The sequence below is a fragment of the Homo sapiens genome, chromosome 19 (assembly GCF_000001405.40).
Source record: "Homo sapiens chromosome 19, GRCh38.p14 Primary Assembly".
Lineage (NCBI taxonomy): Eukaryota > Metazoa > Chordata > Mammalia > Primates > Hominidae > Homo > Homo sapiens.
This window is the reverse complement of record NC_000019.10, coordinates 31,214,451-31,236,561: the sequence shown is the minus strand read 5'-3', so window position 1 is coordinate 31,236,561 and position 22,111 is coordinate 31,214,451. Positions and strand designations below refer to the sequence as shown.

Here is a 22,111-nt window from a genome sequence, read left to right as displayed (position 1 = left end):
GCAAACTGTATATCTGATAAAAGATTAATATCCAAAATTTTAAAAGAACTCGAACAATTTAACAATAAAGACCAAATACCTGATTAAAAATGAACTAAGGACCTAAATGGACATGTCTCCAAAGAAGACATACAAAGGGCCAACAGGTGTATGAAAAGGTGCTCAGTGTCTCTAATCATCAGGGAAATGCAAACTAAAACCACAATGAGATATCACCTGACACTTTGTTACAATGGCTGTTGTCAAAAAGACAAAAGATGACAAATGTTGATGAGGATATGGAGAAAAAGTAACTTTTGTACACCGTTGGTGTGAATGTAAATGGTACAGCCATTGTGGAAAACAGTGCAGAGTTTCCTCAAAAAACTAAAAATAACTAGAAACTAAAATAGACCTGTCGCATGACCTAGCTGTCTCACTTCTGGATATAGATCCAAAGGAAATGAAATCAGTATCTTGAAGAGATATCTGCACCCCCATGTAGCATTATTCACAATAGCCAAGATATGAAATCATCCTAAGCATACATACGTTGACACATGAATGAATAACAAATACGTGGCTGGGCACGGTAGCTCTCACCTGTAATTCCAGCCCTTTGGGAAGCTGAGGTGGGTGGATCACTGGAGACCAGCCTGGCCAACATGGTGAAACCCCTTTGCAACTAAATATACAAAAAATTAGCCAGGTGTGTTGGTGCATTCCTGTAATCCCAGATACTTTGGAGGCTGAGGCATGCATGAGAATTGTTCAAACCCAGGAGGCCGTGGTTGCAGTGAGTAGAGATCGTGCCACTGCACTCCAGCCTGGGCGACAGAGTGAGATTCTGTCTCAAATTAAAAAAAAAAAAAAAAAAAAAAAAGAAGAAGAGGAGAAGAAAGAAAGAAAGAAGAAAGAAATAGAAAGAAATAGAAAGAAAGAAAGAAAGAGGAAAGAAAGAAAGAGGAAAGAAAGAAAGAAAGAAAAAAGAAAGAAAAAAGAGAAGGAAAGAAAATGTGATACACACACACACACACACATACACACATTGGAGGAAGTTCTATCATTTGTGACAACATGGATGAACCTGGAGCACATTATGTTAAGTGATATAAGTCAGGTAGAGACAGACAGGCAGATACTGCATGATCTCACTTATATGTGGAACCTAAAACAGTTGAACTCGTAGGAACAGAGAGTAGAATGGTGCCTATCAGGGGTTGGGGTTGGGGGGAAATGGGGAAATGTTGGTCACAGCCCACAAAGGCTCAGTTATTTGGGATACATAAGTCCTGGAGAGCTAATGTACAGCATGGTGACAATAGTAGATTAATCTGTATCATACACTTGAAATTTGCTAAGAGAATTAATCTTAGGTGTTTTCACCACACATGAAAAATATTTTATTGTGCGAGGTGAAGGGTATGTTAATTAGTTTGGTTGTGGGGATCATTTCATGATATATACATAGCTCAAAACATCACATTGTATACTTTAAATATATGTAATTTTTATTTGTAACGTATACCACAGTAAAGCTGGAAAAACATAAAATAATTGAATTTATCATAAAAAAACTTCCCATACAAGAAATTCGGTGTTGTGATGAGTTCACCAATGAATGCTATCACAGATTTACAAAAGAAATAACATCAATATTACACAGACTTTTTCCAAAAATATAGGCGTGACTGCTTCCTAACATATGTTATTAGGCTAGCACAATCCTGATATCAAAAGCCGACAATGCAGTTGGAAGGAAAGGAAATTACAGGTCAATATCTCTTATGAACACACAAAGCAAAATCCTCAACAAAATATTAGCAAACTGAATTCAGCACTATATGAAGACTGCATCTCAGTATTGCAAAGATGTTCCAACATGGAAAAATTAAATCAAAGCAATTTCACATATTATAGAATAAAGTAGAAAAATCATATAATAATCCCAGTAGATAGATGCAGCAAAAGAGTTTGATGAAATCCAAAACTTGTTCATGATGAAAAACACGCAGCAAATTGCAAATAGAAGGAAACCTTCTCAACCTGATCGTGGGCATCTATGAAAATCATACAGCAACCATCATTGTTAATGGTTAAAGCCAGAATGCTTTCCCCCTAAGACTGGGAATAAGACAAAGATGTTCAGTCTCCTTACTTCCCATAAATACTGTACTGGATGTCCTAGCCAATGCCATAAGGCAAAATAAATAAACAAACGAATTTAAAAAGGAGAGAAATATTTAAAAAAGAAGAAATAAAAATGTATTAACAAATGTTATCATTATCCGTATAGAAAATCCTAAGGATTTTATGAAAAAAACTACTAGAGCTAAAAATGAATTTAGCAACGTCACAGAATACAAGATGAATATATGAAGTTAATTATTATGAACAACAAGTATTTAGAAAATAAAATTTCAAAATGAGAAGGGAGTTAATTTGATGAAAGCTGTGCAAGATTTCTACATGGAAAGCTATAAAACATTTTTGAAAGAAATTAAGGAAGAGCTAAATTAACTGAAAGACATGTCCTGTTAGTGGATGGGAAGACTAGATAGTGTTAAGATGTTCTTTGTACCCAAACTGACTTATAGATTCAACAAAATTCCAAACAAAATCTCAGCAGGCTTTTTTTTTTTTTTTTGGTAGGAATTAACAAAGTTACCCTAAACTGATCTGAAAATGCAAGAGACCTAACATAGCTGAAACAATCTTTAAAAAGAACGAAATTGGAGGACTCACACTTCCTGATTTCTATGGTGCTACAAGAACTAGGTGTCTGTGTAGAAAAAAAATGAACCTCAATCCTTTGCTCACGTTGTTTTGAAGAATTAATTTGAAATGAGTCGTAGGTTCGGAGCATAATGCCTTCAACTGTAGAACTTCTAGGAGGTAGCATAGCAGAAAAACTGCAATTTAGGGGTAGACAAATATTTCTAGGAACACAAAAAGCACTAACTAAAGAAGAAAAATGACCAGTTGTACATCATCAAATTAAAATTGCTTGCCCTGCCGAAGACATTGACAAGAAAAAGACATAACAAACCACAGACTGGGAGACAGTATTTGCAATGCACATATCTGGCAAAGACTAGTATCCAGAGTCTACAAAGTTCTCTTACAACTGAATAATAGAAGGCAAACAACTAATAAATAAGAGAAGTTCTGAATAGGCATTTCACAAAAGAAGATACACAATTGGCCAATGAGTGAATGAAATGATGCTCAGTGCCATTAGTTATTGGGAAAATGCAGATTAAAATGGAATACCACTTTATATCTAAATGACTTAAATTATGACTAAACTGACTAAAAGACTAAAATTAAACAGACTGACAAGACCAAGCATTGTTAAGGATGTTGAGCAACTGGAACTTTCATATATTACTGGGGAGGGGAGGGAGTGTAAAATGGCAAAATCACTTTTGAAAACTGTCTGGCGGCTTTATGGAAAGTTAAGCATACACTCACCAAATGACTCAGCAACTCCATTCCTCTGTTTTTACCCAAGAGAAATGAAAACATATGTCCATAAAGAGACTGGTCCAGGAATGTTCCTAGCAGCTTTATTCATAATAGTTTTAAGTCTGGAAAGAACTCAAATGTCCACCAACTGGAAATGAATCAACAACTATAATACATTTAGACCACGGAATACTACTCAGCCATAAAAAGGAACAAATGCTGGATACGTGCATGGATGAATCTCACTCACAGGCGTGCTAAGTGAAAGAAACAGGACAGGAAACAAATGCATTCTGTATGATTCAATTTATATTAAGTTCCAATTATATTAAAACAGAAAAAAATACATATCTGTAGAGATAGAAATGAGGCCAGCGGTTAACTGGAGCAGGGGGTAGGATGGAGGTCACTGACTTTAAGAGGCAAGAGGATGATTTCTGGAAAGATGGAAACATTCTATGTCTTGCTCAGGGTGGTGGTTGCATGAGTGTGTACTTTGTTCAAATGCCATTGACCTGTACATTTAAAATGTGTGTATTTTGCTATTTTAAACTAAACCTGCACAATGTTGATTTTTAAAATAAGTCATTTAAAATAAACATTTGAATTTCAGGATTGCCTTGGAAAGCCACATGTGGGAATACTGGGCAAGTAATCCTACTTAACCACAGCCAGGTGGAGCTGAGCTACAGCCACCCTGTTCAGATTGGAGCAGCCTCTCACAAGGCTCTCACACACCCTCCCTTTTCGTTCATTTATACTATTTGTCAGATCACTGCTTGTTGGCCTCTGCTCTTTAAAAAGCGTTCATTTATTCATTGACTTTTTTTTCAGCCAGCAATTACTCATCAAACATGTCCTCGATTCTCTGGACTGGCGATTTCTTCTACTTGGGAGCAATCCGCTCTTCATTTGAGCAGCAGGGATGGAGAGAACCCACCACATTCTTGGAGAAGGCTGTGGCATCTTACAGACGCTCCCCCAGGGTTAGCTGGCTCTAGCTCAGGGGCAGGAGGCAACCTGCTTTGGCTCCCTTGGAATAAGGGAGATAAACCAAGAAGGAGGTGAAATTTCCCTTTATTCTGACCATCCCTGATTCTTAGGCCTTTTCCCCAAGACCAGCTCTAGGGCAGAGGAGCCTGTGACTGAGAGCATTACAGATACCCAATCAGGGCATATAAATCAGGGTCTGGAATTAAAGAAAAGTGGGATTTTTATAAAATGGATCATCATTGTATGGCTTTGGTGATATAAATCAGTCAGGTGTAGCTAAAGTGTGAAGTGAATGCCCTTAAATCAAAACATTTTCCTTAGGAATTCCTAGGCACGACTTGTGAAGCTGCTATAGGATCCGTAAGCTCCGGTTGGAGTTATGTAAATCCATTTCCTCCCCTATAAAGCAGCTGAATGTTTTAACTAAATCTAATTCTTAAAATAATGATTTCTGAATCAAAACTTTGCTGGGAAGATTTACAGGCAAGTTTTATAAATCAGAGGCAAGATATATAACTCAGATAGTGAGAAGTGCAGATTTATAAATCCAACTTGTAAATCAGGAGAAAAAACATCATGTTTTACACTAAATAATATTTTTACAAATGGCACCTCATACATCATGCAACTGCCACAAATCTTTCACAGTGGAGTCAGGCTACATAATACGAGGCTGAATCACAAAGGAAATTGAGGCCTGGGTGGTGAAGTCGGGATCGGGGCATGTGGGTTTGGAAAAATGCTCCTGTAAGCACCTAATCAATGTAGATCAGCCAGGGGCTTTGGCATCAGACTCAGGTATGTTTGTAATTCCGCTCGGCCTCCTGAGAGCTGAAAGTGTGGGAGAATCACATCATCGTGCCACCATCCTGGTCTCAGTTTTCTTTCTCTATGAATCCCAGGCAATAATCCTTTTGCCAATGGATTGTTGTGAGCTTTAAATGAGATGCTATCTGTATAGCACTTAGCTTGGGGTCTGGAAAATACCAAGTGCTTAATAAATGTCAGTTTTCTATTAATATATTATCATCTGCATTATTATTGTGATCATCCTCATTATTATTATTTTTAGTCCATATCACTTTTCCATCCCATGACTCATAAAACAAGCAGTGATGGGGGCCAGCGGCGGTGGCTCATGCCTGTAATCCCAGCACTTTGGGAGGCCGAGGCTGGAGGATCACGAGGTCAGGAGATGGAGACCATCCTGGCTAACAAGGTGAAACCCCGTCTCTACTAAAAATACAAAAAAAAATTAGCCGCGCGTGGTGGCAGGAGCCTGTAGACCCAGCTACTTGGGAGGCTGAGGCAGGAGAATGGCATGAACCCGGGAGGCGGAGCTTGCAGTGAGCCGAGATTGGGCCACTGCACTCCAGCCTGGGCAACAGAGCAAGACTCCGTCTCAAAAAAAAAAAAAAAAAAAAAAAAAGCAGTGATGGGAAGCAGGGGTAGTGATGGGGCTGCTGACTCCAGGACCGTGGCCCTGAGAGGTGGGTTGTCTTCTCCTAGCTCAGCTGCATTTAGGTCTGACCACTTTCCCCAGCAATTCCCCAGTTTTTGGCTGTAAGAATTTCCCCGAAAAAGCTTCCTGAAGACCATTTTTTGATACCTGACTTCTCTGCAGGATTTAAATAAAAGTTAATGTTTTTAAGAATCTTGTTACAAAAAGTAATACATTTTTATTGCAGAATATTTGAGGAATAATGAAAATCACCAACACTTTTGCCGCCCAGAGATAATCACTGATAACTTTTTGGTTATCCTCTTAAAGTCTTTTTCTATGCATATATTTACATACATACATTTTTTAAAAACAAAAAAATGAAATGTACAGATGGGTTTGCAACTTTTTTCCCCATTTAACTATATATTGTGAACCTTTTCTGAAGTCACTACATAATTCTCAGTATGATTTTTTTATGACCTTGGATTATAATGCACCATACTTTATTTAAGCAGCTGCATATTTTCAGACGTTTATTTTGTTTTTAATTTTTTGCTTTTATAAACAACCTTCCAGGGAACATTTTTAAATAAATTTCTGCAGTTATTTATGATTATTTTCTGAGGATAAATTCCTAGAAGAGGAATTGCTGGGTAAATGAACTACACATATTTTAAAGAATTTTGCCAAGTTACCCTCTAGAACAATTGTATCACTTTAGGATCATCCTAGCAATCTGTGGGTGCCCATTTTCCCAGGCTCTACATAATCTTTTCTTTTTTAGAAAATGTCAGTGTAATAGCTGAAAAATCGTGTTTCACTATTGTTTCAGTTTGCACATCTTTGACAGCTTGCAAAGTTAAACATTTTTCATATTTTTGCTGTTAGTACTTCCTTTGTGAATTTTCTAATCATGTCTTTTGTCCACATTGACATTTCAGAGACTTAAGAATGTAAACCCTTTGTTACATACATTGCAAGTTTCTTTTTCCAGTTTCCTATTTGCTCTTAGATATAGTTATGGCAGAATATTTGAATTTACATGTGATCAATTTCATCAAGATTCTACTTTATGGTAATACACTACCTAAAAGATTTTCCCATTACAAGATCAGATAAACATGCACCTATATTTCCTTCTAGTTCATTTGTATATGTATTTTTAAATTTATAATCCGCTTGACATTTATTTTAGGATGTGGTGTGAAGCAGTGATGAATCAATTTATCTTTAGTGTTTCGCAGTTGTCCCCGCATCATTTCCCCCAGAGACTTGAAAAAGCTCTCCTATTATGGAATAGATTCTTAATGTTCTTTCTACCTGCCCATCCTTGGTCCAATAACATTCTATTTTAATTGTCGTAGTTTTAGAATCTATCTTAATGTCCTTGCAAATGTTTCTAATCTTTCTGTTTGGTCAAACTTTACTTGATTATTTTATTCATTTATTCTTCCAGACAACATTTAGAATCATTTTGTCAGGTTTCAAAGAAAACTTTATTAAAATTTGGATTGGAATTATAATAGACTTATACACAAATTGAGGCAATGGCCCCCTTACAATGTTTAGTCTTCTCTTTCAGGAACATGCATGCACCCCTCTAATTTTACCCTTCTCATATCTTCTTCTATAAAACTCCCTTCTAAAACCACTGGGTCAGGACAGCATCCCAGTCAGGTAGGACTAATATTACTGGACTCAGTTTCAATCAAATTTGGAACCCACAGGTCTGTTTTGAGGAAGGAGGAGATGGAGAGAGGTTAGGATCTAAGATTAGAGTGGCGAGGTAGTGCATGCCCCTCCTTTGAGAACACTCACTTCCAGGAAGGTTCTGTAGGAAACTTCAAATACCAGGGTCTACAAATGACCCTGCAGTCACTGACCCATGTACAATCCTTCTGTGCAGGCTCTGCTTAACATCCTGGCAGCATTGGTAGAGATTTTTATTTAAAATCTGAACACCACTCTCTGCAATCTGTCCATGGGAAGGTGCTAGTAACCTTCAGTGTTCAAATATCCCAGCTCAAGGAAGAAAGTTTGACCCTAAGCTTCTGATTGAAACACAATAAAGCAAATAATGATTGAAAAATAAGACACATATTCTTGGGAACCATGCTAATATTGTCTCTAATAATTTTTTTTTTTTTTTTTTTAGACAGGGTTTCACTCTGTCACTCAGGCTGGAGTACAGTGGTGTGATCTCAACTCACCATAACCTCTGCCTCCGGGGCTCATGTGATCCTCCCCCCTCAGCCTCTGGAGTAGCTGGGACTGCAGGCACACACCACCATGCCTAGCTAAATTTTGTAATTTTTGTAGACATAGGGTTTCACTATGTTGCCCAAGCTGGTCTTGAACTCCTGGGCTCAAGCAATCTGCCCACCTTGACCTCCAGAAGTGCTGGGATTACAGGTGTGAGCCACCACACCCAGCCTGAAATAGAATTTGTATTGGTGAATTCAGGAATTACAAGAGCTTCAATAATGTCTTGAAGCTCTTAACTTAACTTGGCAATGCTCCCTCTACTCTCCTTGCAGCTCCCCAGTGAAGCATGGCCTTGTGCACCATAAGCAGATTTGAAGTTTAAGAAGATGACTCTAGATGTTCCACGGAGAATGTTAGGAGTGAGAATGGCCATGGGAAGACCCACTGGGAGGCTGTTGAGTTGCCCAGGTAAGATGATGGTTTTATGGACTTGTTGGGGGTCCGTGTGGATGGAGGGAAGGAACCAGAGTTTACACATATGTTGGTCATAAAAATAAACCAATAAGATTTCATGATGGCGCTAGAGAAGGGAAGATGTCCAAGATGATTCCAAGGTTTCTGGCAGAAGAAACTGGATGGTTGCTGAGATTTGAAAGGTGGAGTAGGAATAGATTTGGGGACAGCAGGGATAGGACTGCCTGGAGCTGAGTTCAAGGCATGCTTGTGTAGATCCTGGATGTCTTGTCATTAAGTGAGAGAAACCTACCTCCAACTTTACTGAGTGAAAAAGAAGAGTTTTGGGGTACGCAATATAAAGCCCACAGGTGGAACAGATTTTCAGCCCCTGGTGTTCAACATTGGCATTAGGGATCTCTCTCTTCTTCCCTCCCATCCTCTCTTTCTTCCCCCTTCTGTTGCTGTAAGCTGTGCTTTCACTGTGCTGCCTTTCTCTTCTAGCAGGCTCTCCCTAAGTTTGGTGGCAGAGTTGGCCCAGTCTCTTCAGGCTTCTATTCTATTCTACCAGCATAGCAATTCCAGTGAGAAAATAGGGTTTTTTTCCTCCTCAAATTGTGTCAGCAAAATTTGTTGGGTGTGAATGGTCTTGACCCACTTTTGACTCAGTAACTCTCTTTATACCAATCTGATTCTGGGTAGATCTGTCATATGACCAGACAATTTTGAAAAGGTATTTGGGCTAGGCGTGGTGGCTCATTCCTGTAATCCCAGCACTCTGGGAGGCTGAGACGGGTGGGTGGCTTGAGGTCAGGGGTTCGAGACCAGCCTGGGCAACATAGTGAAACCCCATATCTACTAAAAATACAAAAAGTTATCCAGGCATGGTGGCACAGGCCTGTAGTCCCAGCTACTTGAGAGGCTGAGGCACAAGAATCGCTTGAACCTGGAAGGCTGAGGTTGCAGTAAGCCGAGATGGCACCACTGCACTCCAGCCTGGATGACAAAGAGAAATTCCATCTCAAAAAAAAAAAAAAAAAAAGAAAGAAAGAAAGAAAGAGAAGAAAAAGAAAAAAGAAAAAGTATCTGCAAGGGATAGTTCTCTAAAAGCAAAAAATGAAAATAAGGAAATAAACAGATTGGACAGACAAATCACAGATGCCTATATCTGCTAATATATGTGACCTTAAAATTTATTGTCTAAGATGTTTTTGAGTCTGAAAGGGGTGCTGTGACTACTTATGCCAGGACACCACATGTAAATAGAGACTTCCCAGAGCAAATGAAGACATATGGTCACCTTATGTCTTGAACACAGGGTGTTCAAGTAGAGATGTTGACTTGTGGTTGGTGCTCAGATGGAAGGCAAGAATGGAATATAGGATTTAGAGCGGTTAGCAGGGAAGTTCTGATGGAATGGTGTATTAGTCCATTTTCACGCTGCTGATAAAGACATACCTGAGACTGGGTAATCTACAAACAAAAAGTTGTTTAATGGATTCACAGTTCCATGTGGCTGGGGAGGCCTCACAATCATGGCAAAAGGCAAAAGGCACACCTTACATAGTGGCAGGCAAAGAGAAAATGAGAACCAAGCAAAAGAGGAAACCCCTTATGAAACAATCAGATCTTGTGAGACTTGTTCACTACCATGAGAACAGTGTGGGGGAAACCACCCTTATGATTCAGTTATCTCCTACTGGTTCCCTCCCACAACACGTGGGAATTATAGGAGCTACAATTCAAGATGAGATTTGGGTGGGGACACAGAAACCATATCAAATGGTATGGGAAGAAGTGGAATTGAAGGAGTCGAAAGAGTGGGTTGAAGATTGAAAGGAGGTGAGGAATTGGGGACAGCATCATATGGACACATTGCTTTTTTTTTTTTTTTAAGATGGAGTCTTGCTCTGTTGCCCAGGGTGAAGTGCAGTGGCATGAGGTTGGCTCACTGCAACCTCCATCTCCCGATTCCAGTGATTCTCCTGCCTCAGCTTCCCAAGTAGCTGGGATTACAGGTGCCCATTAACACACCCTGCTCATTTTTGTATTTTTAGTAAAGGCAGGGTTTCACCATGTTAGCCAGGATGGTCTCAAACCCCTGTCCTCAAGCAATCCACCTACCTTGGCTTCCCAAAGTGCTGGGGTTACGGGCATGAGCCACCGTGCCCAGCTGACACACCGCTTTTAAGCCAGATTGGGAAGGGTAAGGAGATAAGGCAACAGCAGGAGGAAAATGAGTGAGAGCAAAGGAAATGAATTTTAAGACTGGGAGACTAGTGGAAACTGTAAGCAAAGGAATAGATATCTGTTGATGGAAACTGTCAGAAGGCAGGAGGGAAAAGGCCCCTCAGGAAGGAGAAGGGCGAACTTCACCTTTGTAACTGAAGGAAGGTGGGGGAGGATGGGGAGGTGCAGATGGGCCGATAGATTCTGTCATGCAAGAAAGAGATGCTCCTGTTCCTATACGATGGCTTCTCATTTTTCCATAAAGTGCAGGACAAGGCTGTATGCCAAGATTGGGGTTTGAGGCCATAAGATGCGTTGAACATGTTGCTGTGGTAAAAGGGTTGGTGAACGAAATGCACCAAGACTGTTGGGCAATGTGACAGGCTGAGATGTGTGTGGCAATGTGAGCCAGCTATGGATTGCAGCGTCTCTGCCAAGGCTGGGGGAAATATATTCAGCTTATCCCCCTAGGCTTGTTTGCAGACCACTCCTTTCATTCCCTGGGACTTCAAAGAGATTGTCACATCTCCACCGTCTGAGGCTGACTCTGGGGCCAGGCTTCCTATAATGCCATTCGGGATGCTCAAATGATCATGCTCTATGGGCACCTGAAGTAACATGGCCTCACTTCTAAATGAATGGCAGCATTTGCATGAAGGAAAAACATTTTTAATGCCCCCTTTTCTGATTTAGGAGGTTGCTGAAGTCAGGGTGCAGTAGAATTTGCCATAATTCACAGGTCTGGCCTCCTCTTCTCCAGAGGCCTCCAGCCAGCACATTGCAGTGTTCAGAAGCTGCTCTTGGGTGCTCAGGGGGAACAGGGGCCCTGGGGCTTCTAGGCCGTACATAAAAGCTGAAGCCTTTGTGTGTTCATCCTGGCTGGTAATTTGCCATTTAAGAAATTCACATTGGACTTTATCACCTCCAGCTCTTGAGCACAATGTCTTTTCTTGATAGAAAGCTGGTGAATCAAATAAAGTTTTTAAATGAAAATATTATAAAAGAAAATTTTGGTGGATTCCCCTTGTTTTATTGTTTTTAATTTTTTCTAGCACCAACATAAAAGGATTTCTCTTTGGTACACAAACTACTTACTGGGGCTGCTGAATAGCAATGATATGATTTAATATCTAGAGTGTCCTCAAGCCCTAAGGCTAGAGTATTAGAATTGGAGGTAGCATTGACCCACCACGTCTGGCTTCTGTGAGGTCCTGTGCCATCCACATAGGTCTGCATGATTAATACTTAAGAGATTATGTCCTGGGAGACATGTATGGAGACATCATTGGAGTGGTTGTCTTCACAGCAAACGTCACTTGAAACTTCCTTTTCCCCCTTCAGAATACCAACGTGATTATGCATTGAGCTGTTGCTATTTACAGATATCTTAGCACAGAGAGCATTACACAGCCAATGACACAGAATTACAACCATCTAGACATATGGTTTGGATAAACAAAGCACAAAGCACAAATTAACCATGGTTGACTATAACTCCCGCTCTCTACTCCCTAGGGAGGGACTTTAGTGAAACTCCCAGTTGGAGAAAGCAATACATATCAGAAAGTAGAGTGCATACAGCATGGTTTAGACAAATGGTAAACCTTATTTAATGCTTTTCATGGTGCCAGAACACAATGGCACCAACCTGTCTAGCAAAAGTTATATCTCCGTGCCAGTTTCCTGTAAATAGTAACTGTACTCCTACCGGATTCCATGCCTGTGTGCTCCAAGGCCAAAGAATGCCTTTCATTTTTCATCACCTTGCTTCTACTTCCTGTGTCCAAAGGCCTGGTTGCCGAGTGCATCTGGATGTTAGAGCTGCAAGGAGTTGGACGCAAGTAGCCTCCTCTGAGTAAACACCCTTCAACTTCCACTGTGGTCCTTCCCCTCACTGAGTGGCCCATGCTAGTCTATAGGGAAGAACCCCCATCACCCCCACCCCCGCTCCAGCTAGGACAGTCAAGGCCTGAGCTCATCCAACCCCACGGGTGCCATTAGGAGTGGGAGGATTCTATTTGCTGGCAGTCAGCATTCCCCCCACTTTCCATATTTTATCTTCCATGAAAAATTCTTCCAGGACAGGAAACTTTCTGTGTGAGGTCCTTGGCCCCATCATTGACACACGAACCTTATAAACTTTGTTTGACAATAAAGAGTATAATATTTGCTTTTCATAATACATGTGCATCGCTTTCCAAAGGAGAGAGCAAAATAAATAAATAACTGGAGTGAAAGGCTTCTACTTGGCTTGAACACTTGTACTGGAGTTTTTCAAAAGGAAAAAAAATCCACAGAACACTTAGCTAAATATATACCTACTTTTTTTTTCTTGTCTTTGGTGACTTTTCAGATGTACATAATGTATTTAGTTCTCCCTCTCTCTGTCACACACACACACACACACACACACACACACACACACGTTATAAGAACTAAAATTAGAGTCCATCATTCACAGACCTACCTGGGAGAAGGTATACACATGAGGCCCCACAAATACAGAGGGCTCTACAGTGTCAGATAAGCCTTAAAGACTTAATATTTTATGAGTTGGTAAACCTTTGATTCTTATTATTTTATTAGCTGACCCTAATATTTTAAGTGTACACCAAAAACAAATTCTGCTCCATGAGATGAGCAGAGGAAAAATCTACAGGCTCAGATGTCCAAGAGAAACAGGGCTTCCATCAGTGTGACAGGGACATGGAATCTCTAATGCCCTCTCAACAGAAATCCTAGCTGCCAACCTCCTGAGCCTCATGGTCATCTTGAGTCAAGGGAATTGTGTGAGATCCACTCAAGTGGCCTTGATGGCTTTCTTCTTGCAAAGGTTGGGCAGGCAGCGGGAGACTCGCTGACCCCACATGGGTATTATTGACATGTCTTCTTGCTGTCATTTTCACATCTCATTTCTAACCCTCTGAAGTGAATAGGGAAGACTACTGAATCACTCTCTGTCATGTTTATATGGCAAAATAGAAATGGAGAAGGACAAGAGACGAGATTCCCAGGGCAAAGCTAATGGACTTACCAAGGCCACTTACCTGGATTCAATAATTCAAATTAACTCCATTCAATTCAGCAAATATTTTCCGAGTACCTCCTATGAAGGAAGTCCCTGTGCTAAGCCCCGTAGAAGATACAGAAAAGAAACTGAAGCTGAAGCTCCAGTCCAGAGGGAGAAACATTTAAGGGTGAAATATTCCTGAGAGCATGGCAGCTGGAGAGGGACAGGAGGTCCTGAAGGAAGGAGGAATCCATTCTGATTAGTACTGGGGAACAGGAAGATGGGAACCTTGACTTTACTCTAGAGCCTTTGAAAGTTTTTCCAAGTCTAGGAAGGTTGTGAAGTGTGTACCAAGTCTCAGTCCTACTTGTCTCTTTTCATCTCAAGAGTCAAGTGAAAATATCTTCAAGCATATTGAAAATAACATCTGGTCACATGCGTTTGACTGACCCCATTCCCATTGTGGACTCCAATATATACTGGATGTGTTTCATTTTGCTTCTGTGTAAAACAGATTCTACTAGCCCATAAAGAGGGATTTTACATTTAGTCTTCTGTGACGTTCATTAGTAACATGTTCCATATGCACTTACAGATGTACATTCTACAAATTGGAATTCTTACAGTCTAGCTATAGATGAAGAAAATTCATGGGAAATCTCTATGAGGCTCAAAGAATGGATGGGAAGGGTAAAGACCCTGGCTTAAAATAGACTGCAACCAAGGTATAGCTGGGGTCCAGGCAAACTCAACCACGTACACTGTCAGGGGACCATGAGCTCCAACCACTTCCTGACCTCATGTCACTGTACTCCAGATTCAAAGTCCTGGGGCTGAAGAGAGGCTGGTTGCAAAGGTCCCATTCTTGACACCTTGGCTTGCAGTCTTACAAGACCCAAGACAGAGGGCGAGGTAAACCTTTCACCTTTCAGAAGCACATTAGGATGCTATTATTGAAAGTAAGGTGAAGGGATTATGAGTCACCAAGCCACCAGGAAGTGCACCATATTTAGTGGGCCAGATACCGTGTTAATGCTAAGATAATAAACTCATGGACACTGAAGCCCAGCGACAGGCCACCATTTTGTGTTAGGGAGTAGACATGTAAATAACTTACCACCAAACATGGAAGAAGAGAAAGCATTACAGGAGAGGGGAGGTGAAGAAGGAACTCCAAGGGAGGTTGGAGGAGAGACAGTGGTTTCTATTCAATGTGCCCAGCTAACCTTCAGATGATATCGTGGTGATGCTGTGGAAGGAATGTGGAGTGTATCTGATGACCTCGGGCACATGGCTGAGGCCGGGAGTGGATTTAGGTCAGCCACCAATTTGACATAAGGAGAACTGCACATCCATGTTGGAGTTATGACATGTGTTTTCTGTTGACTTTGATTTGAAGACACCCCACCACCTATTCCTTGACACTCCTGTGTCTCAAAAAAGTGTCTTTCAAGGTATGTGTATCACTGCACTCATACACATGCACATATCTATTGGAAACCCTGGCCCAAATTGGCTTTCTATCCACCACCAAAAGAATTCAGCATCCTTTTCTTGAGTTTTCATTGCACTTTACCCTTACCTCTAATGCTACACCTGCCATGTTAAATTAAAATTATATTTTGCAGATAATATCTTGTCCATCATGGCATCCCCTGTGTCTGGCATAGTATCTGATACCAAGTAGGCATGTGACAGATGTTGGGTGAATATACATAGTTGAGCATACACATCTCTGATCTTAGTCTTGTTACTGCTGGTGATAATAAACATTTGTAATTAGGCATTTTAACTAGTTTGGCATCTATGCTGTTCTTATGTAACTACTTTTGGTGGATTTGCCTGTTGCTTTCTGTAGCTGCTTCAAAAGGAAGTGGTGCACATTTCAGTCTTCATTGAAATTTCAATCCTGGAGTCATAAATATTGCTATGTGCTCACCAAAATCTGTTCCTTCATCTTTCTGAGCACACAGCTAGACTACATTTCCCAGCCTCCTTTGCAGTGAGGTGTGGTCATGTGACTCGGTGTTAGCCAGAGGAAAGGAAAAGGAAGTGAAGTGCACCACTTCTCAGACTGGCCCTTTAAAAACCTACCCTGTGATCATCCTTCCTTACCTGCCAGCTGAATAGAAAGGGCGCCAAGGCTCTAGCTACTAATAGCCACTAATCATATGTTGCTATTTAAATTTGAATTAATTTAAATGAAATAAAAATGAGAGACAAAGAACTATCACAGTCCCAAGTACTCTTGATTTCTTCCCTTCCCCAACCCAATGAAATAAAAATAAAATGTGAAATTGAAGTTAGATGAGACCCAAAATACATATATAGAGAGACAAGGGGCAGTGAGAGACCTCAGTTGCTGTCTAACTTACAACCTGTCGCCCTTCACTTATTCATCTCTTTACCTTTCTCCTGCAAGTCTCCCATACCATCATGGGGCAACTTTTGGATGACAGATAACTGGATTTCAATCTTGCCTTTGGCATTTCCTTGCTATGTGATTATTGTGTTTTTATTTAATGTTTCCAGGCCCCTGTTCCTTCCTCTTAAAGTTGCAGCCGATGCTTCTCACTTCAGTAATCAGTTTGACAAAAATAACATACACCAATGTGGCATAGTTATAGTTCCTCTTAAATCTATCTCTCCATTTTTATTTCATACAGATATCCAGTTGTTCTACCACTGTTTGTTGAAAAGGATTTTCTCCACCATCCATCCACCTTGGCCTTGACAAGGTAAATGGGTAGTGGGAGAAATCGTCTTTAATTGATCTTTTTCCAAGAGATCAGTTGAAGACTATTGATTAAATTGATCAAATAATCAATTGATCAATTGATCTTTCCAAAGATCAATTGAATATATATATTTTAATGTAATCAAATTCCATATATATTCAATTATATACTTATACACATTCCAGATATATTCAGTATACATTTTGAATATACATATATATTTTTTATATATATACATATATATATCTATACACATATATATTCACTTCTGGACTCTATTCTGTTTGTTCCATTGATTCATAAGCTAATAGAACTGTCTTAATTACTTTCCCTAATTTAAATACCATAAAGTAAGTCCTGAAATGAGATAATAAAGGTTCTTCAATGTTTTTCTTCTTTAAAAAATTAAATAAAATTAAAAATTCAGTTCTGCCATTGCACAGGCCACATTTCAAGTGCTTCATAGCCATACATCTTTAGTGGCTATTGTATTGGACAAGGAAATATAGAACATTTCCATCACCATAGAATATTCTACTGGCCAGAACTGCTCTAGAAGAGGGTAAAATCACAACAGAGAGAGAAGCCAAGTCACTGAACAAGTTTGCTTCAAGTTTGCTTGAAGCAAACTTCTCACTGCCATCATTACCACTGATTGGACTTGATAAGAAAAATGAACTTCTGCTGTGTTGAGCCCTTTGGATTTAGGGGTTTATTTATTCACAGTAGCTACTGAGTCATTCTCTGATACAGAGGTCATAGGTCAAGACACGGAATCATTTTGTTCACCTGTCTCTCCATAGGCAGTGAAAAACAAGCTCCACTGGGAGAAGTGTCTTGTCTGAGAGCAGAGAACTAATGAATTTTTGGGGTCCAATCCAGAAACACTGATTTTATACGTATGGTGAAAGCATAAAGGCCTCACTGTCAGCTTCGAAGAACTTCCCTTAAGTCTTTAGAGCCTGAAGATATGCACATCTCACTCTGTGATGCAGCCTTACTAATGCTCTGGTACAAACATGTACCTGAAGCATCTCCTTCTGCAAGTAAGAACCTCCTGACAGTCACAGTGTGGCAAAGCCTGTAAAATTAGTAGAAAAATTAGCAATGCTGCCGGATTACAATCCCACTACCTCAGACCATGGGGAGTGAAATTCCCAATGGGCCATGACACTTTAGAAAATAATGTTATAACAAATTTAAAGGTTTAAGTTAGAATCATACAGCATGTAGCCCTTTTACACTGGCTTCCCCCACCCCAATTAGTAACATACATTTAAGTTTTCTCCAGGCCTTTTTTATGGCTGATAGCTCATTTCTTTTTAGCTCTGAACAATATTCCATAGTCTGGATGAACCAGTTTATTCATCCGTTGAACTACTGAAGGATGACTTGGTTGCTTCAAAGTTTTGGCAATTATTAATAAACCTATTACACATATCCACGTGGGAGTTTTTATGTAGACATAAGTTTTCTCTTCTCTTGGGTATATCTAGGAGTGAGACTGCAGGATGGCATGGTAAGAGTATATTTAGTTTTATAAGAAACCCCCAAATTGTCTTCCAAAGTGGCTGTTCCATTTTGCATTTCTACCAACAATGAATGAAAGTTCCTGTTACTCCACATCCTTGCCAGCATTTAGTGTTGTCAGTGATCTCAATTTCAGCCATGCTAATAGATGTGTGGTGGCATCTCAGTGTTGCTCTAAGTTGTATCTCCCTAATGACATATGACATAGGACATAGGACATATGACATAGGTATTTGCCATCTCTGTCTTCTTTGGTAAGGTGTCTGCTAAGGTCTTTGGCCCATTTTTAAGCTGGATTGTTTATTCTGTGATTGTTGAGTTTTAAGTGTTCTTGTACACTTTGGATAGCAGGCCTTTTTCAGATAATATCCTTTGCAAATATTTCCTCCCAGTCTGTGGCTTGTCTTTTCATTCTCTTGGCAGTGTCTTTCACAGAGGAGAAATTTTTAATTTTAATTAAGTCCAGCTTATCATTTCTCTCTTTCACGGAATGTGCCTTTGGTGTTGGATCTAAAAAGTCCTCACCAAATCCTAGGCCATCTAGATTTTCTCCTATGTTATCTTCAAGGAGTTTATTGTTTTGTGTTTTACATGCTTTACATACTGTATCATTCCAACTGTGTGACATTCTGGAAAAGGCAAAATTGTAAAGACAGTGAAAAGACCAGTGGTTATCAGGGGTTGAGGGGAGGAAGGGATGACAGGCAGAGCACAGAGGAGTTTCAGGGCAGTGACACTGCTTTGTAGGATTCTATACACTGCTTTGTAGGTGGATACATGCCATTATGCATTGATCTAAACTCGTAGAATGCACAACACCAAGAGCGAACCCTTACGTAAACTATGGATTCTGGGTGATGGTGATGTGTTAGTGCAGTTCATCAGTTGTAACAAAAGGACCAACTGGTGGGGGCTGTCGATAATGGAGGAGGCTGTGCATGTCAAATGCAGGGGGCACATGGGAAATCTCTGTACCTTCTGCTCAGTTTTGCTGCAAAACTAAAACTGCTCTAAAATAAAGTCTAGTTTATTTTTTTTTAAAGGTAAATTAGATTACGACCTCCCTTTTCTTAAAATCCATCTATAACATTTGCTTTGCACTTTAAATAAATGTTTGTCCTTTGGAAGGGAGTTCTCGCCTTTCATCCACCAGCCCTGCCCATCTCCTTGACCTCATCTGCTCCATCTCCCCCTCGTTCACCCCGTTGCCCTGTTCCAGCACCACTGGATTTCTTTCTGTTCCTTTAAGGTTTGCACACAAGTTCCACCTTGGGCATTTGTCCTTGTTGTTCCTCTGCCCACAACATTCTGCCACTAGCTGTCTCTGCCCCTTAACCCCAGCCATGCACACAGAGATTTTCACAGGTTGGATGTGTCATAGTCCTTCATGTCTCCATTCAAAAGCTGCCTCCTGGGCGGGGTGCGGTGGTTAATGCCTGTAATCCCAGCACTTTGGGAGGCTGAGGCGGGTGGATCACCTGAGGTCAGGAGTTCGAGACCAGCCTGGCCAACATGGTGAAACACCTTCTCTACTAAAAATACAAAAATTGGTAAATTGGTCAGGCGCGGTGGCTCATGCCTGTAATCCCAGCACTTTGGGAGGCTGAGGCAGGCAGATCACAAGGTCAGGAGATCGAGACCATCCTGGCTAACATGGTGAAACCATGTCTCTACAAAAAAATAAAAAATAAAAAATAAAAAATAAAAAAAATTGGCCAGGCGTGGTGGCGGGCACCTGTGGTCCCAGCTACTCGGGAGAGAGGCAGGAGAATCGCATGAACCCGGGAGGCAGAGCTTGCAGTGAGCCGAGATCGCACCACTGCACTCCAGCCTGGGTGGCAGAGTGAGACTCCATCTCAAAAACAAAACAAAACAAAACAAAACAAAAATACAAAAATTAGCTGGGTGTGGTAGCACATACCTGTAGTCCCAGCTACCCGGGAGGCTGAGGCAGGAGAACTGCTTGAGCCAGGGAGGTGGAGGTTGCAGTGAGCTGAGATTGCACCACTGCCCTCCAGCCTGGGTGACGGAGACTCTGTCTCAAAAAAAAAAAAAAAAGCTGCCTCCTGGGAAAGCCTTTCTGATGATCTCAGGTGACTCTCATCCCTCTGTACCACACTACCTTGTGTTACTGTCTCCTTAGCATGGCCATTAGGTCCCTCCTTTTGCAGCAAAGTGCTGTCTTCATGAGGCCAGGAGCCTTGCTGATAGGGGTCCTAGTTGTGTGCTCAGCTTGAGACATGGTGGGGGCTGGGAGCCCCCCCAAAAAGGCCTAAAATGAATTTCTTGAGTATTCTGGCAGACTAAGTTTAAATATTTAAGAACGATTTGATGGCCAGACATAACACCATCATAAAGAATTATATTTCTTGTATACACTTATACCATTGATGTTCTTTGATGTTTCTTGTATACATATATACATACACCATCATAAAGAACGTGAGTTGTAAGTAATTGCATTGTATGGTTTTTCTTTGAGAATTTGGTGATTTTCCTCCAAAATTTAACAATTTTAATTTAATTTAATATTTAATATTTAATAATAAATTTAATTTAATTTTTAATAGTTTTTTTAAGCCAATTGGAAAACTCTACTATAGATCCTATATATAGAAAAAAATTATAATACCTTTTTTTTTGAGACAGAGTCTCGCTTTGTCGCCAAGGCTGGAGTGCAGGGGCACGATCTCGGCTCACTGCAAGCTCCGCCTCCCGGGTTCAAGTGATTCTCCTGCCTCAGCCTCCCAAGTAGCTGGGATTACAGGCACACACCACTATGCCCGGCTAATTTTTTTATTTGTAATAGAGGCAGGGTTTCACCATGTTGGTCAGGCTGGTCTTGAACTCCTAACCTCGTGATCCGCCAGCCTCAGCCTCCTAAAGTGCTGGGATTATAGGCGTGAGCCACCACACCCAGCTTAGAACCTTTTTCTGTAAATATTCCTATTAATGTAAAAAATCATTTTATTTTATGGTTAAAACAACACAATTGGGACCAGCTATCTTCAGAGTTTTAGTTTTTTAAAGCTCACATTTTTACCCTATTTCTGATATTTCTTGTCTACACTTATACCATGGATATTTCTTGTATACACTTATACCATTGATGTTCTTTGATGTTTCTTGTTTACTTGTATAGCATTGATGTTATTTAAGATTATTTTATGTGCTCTGTGGACAGATGCTTCTAATTTAATGTTTTCATTAAATTCATTTGTGTGATTTACAATTTATGACAGATGATTCTGACTTCCCAGTGAGTGACAGCAATTTTCCTTTTTGAGTAAATTTATTTAAGTAAAGACCTGACTCATATTAAAGAAAAATATGAGTACAGGGTAGTATTGACATGATATAGCGCCACAATTCTGAATGTGGTATCTAAATGACTAATGTCTGGGAAATGCTTGAAACACCTACACTGGAGATGTATAGCCAACCAACCGAATATCTTCATTTTTGTATCAATATTTGGTACCTGCCAACTTTTTAAAAATTTTATTTTAATCCCCTCCTGCTTTGTTACATTTTTGGCAAAGAGGGAATGGTCTATGGATGAGGGTTGAATGCTCGGTTCTTTTTTTTTTTTTTTTTTTTTTTCTGAGACAGAGTCTCGCTCTGTCGCCCAGACTGGAGTGCAGTGACCGGATCTCCGCTCACTGCAAGCTCCGCCTCCCGGGTTCACGCCATTCTCCTGCCTCAGCCTCCCGAGTAGCTGGGACTACAGGCGCCCGCCACCACGCCCGGCTAATTTTTTGTATTTTTAGTAGAGACGGGGTTTCACCGTGTTAGCCAGGATGGTCTCGATTTCCTGGCCTCGTGATCTGCCTGCCTTGGCCTCCCAAAGTGCTGGGATTACAGGCGTGGGCCACCACGCCCGGCCTGCCTGATTCTTTAGGAAATAGGTCTTCAGGACCCCCACACTTAATCCTGGGATGTGAAAGTGATAAGTCTCAGTCAACTTAGGTGCAATGCCTTATCCAGGTATGAATGCAGTCTTTCCCTGAGCTGAATAAAACTCAAGAATCAAAGACTCTGTTCTTGCTTTCTCAATCTGCT

At 40.5% G+C, this 22,111-nt stretch overlaps 1 protein-coding gene across 2 annotated transcripts in view; it reads left to right on the top strand.

The window, feature by feature from the left end:
- The window catches only part of TSHZ3 (teashirt zinc finger homeobox 3), a 201,002-nt gene that overhangs the window by 114,316 nt on the left and 64,575 nt on the right, over positions 1-22,111 (top strand). For both annotated transcript variants that reach the window (NR_138035.2, NR_138036.2), the window contains exon 2: positions 8,422-8,557. The gene's annotated coding sequence lies outside the window, so the exon portion shown is untranslated. The remainder of the gene's footprint in view (positions 1-8,421; positions 8,558-22,111) is intronic.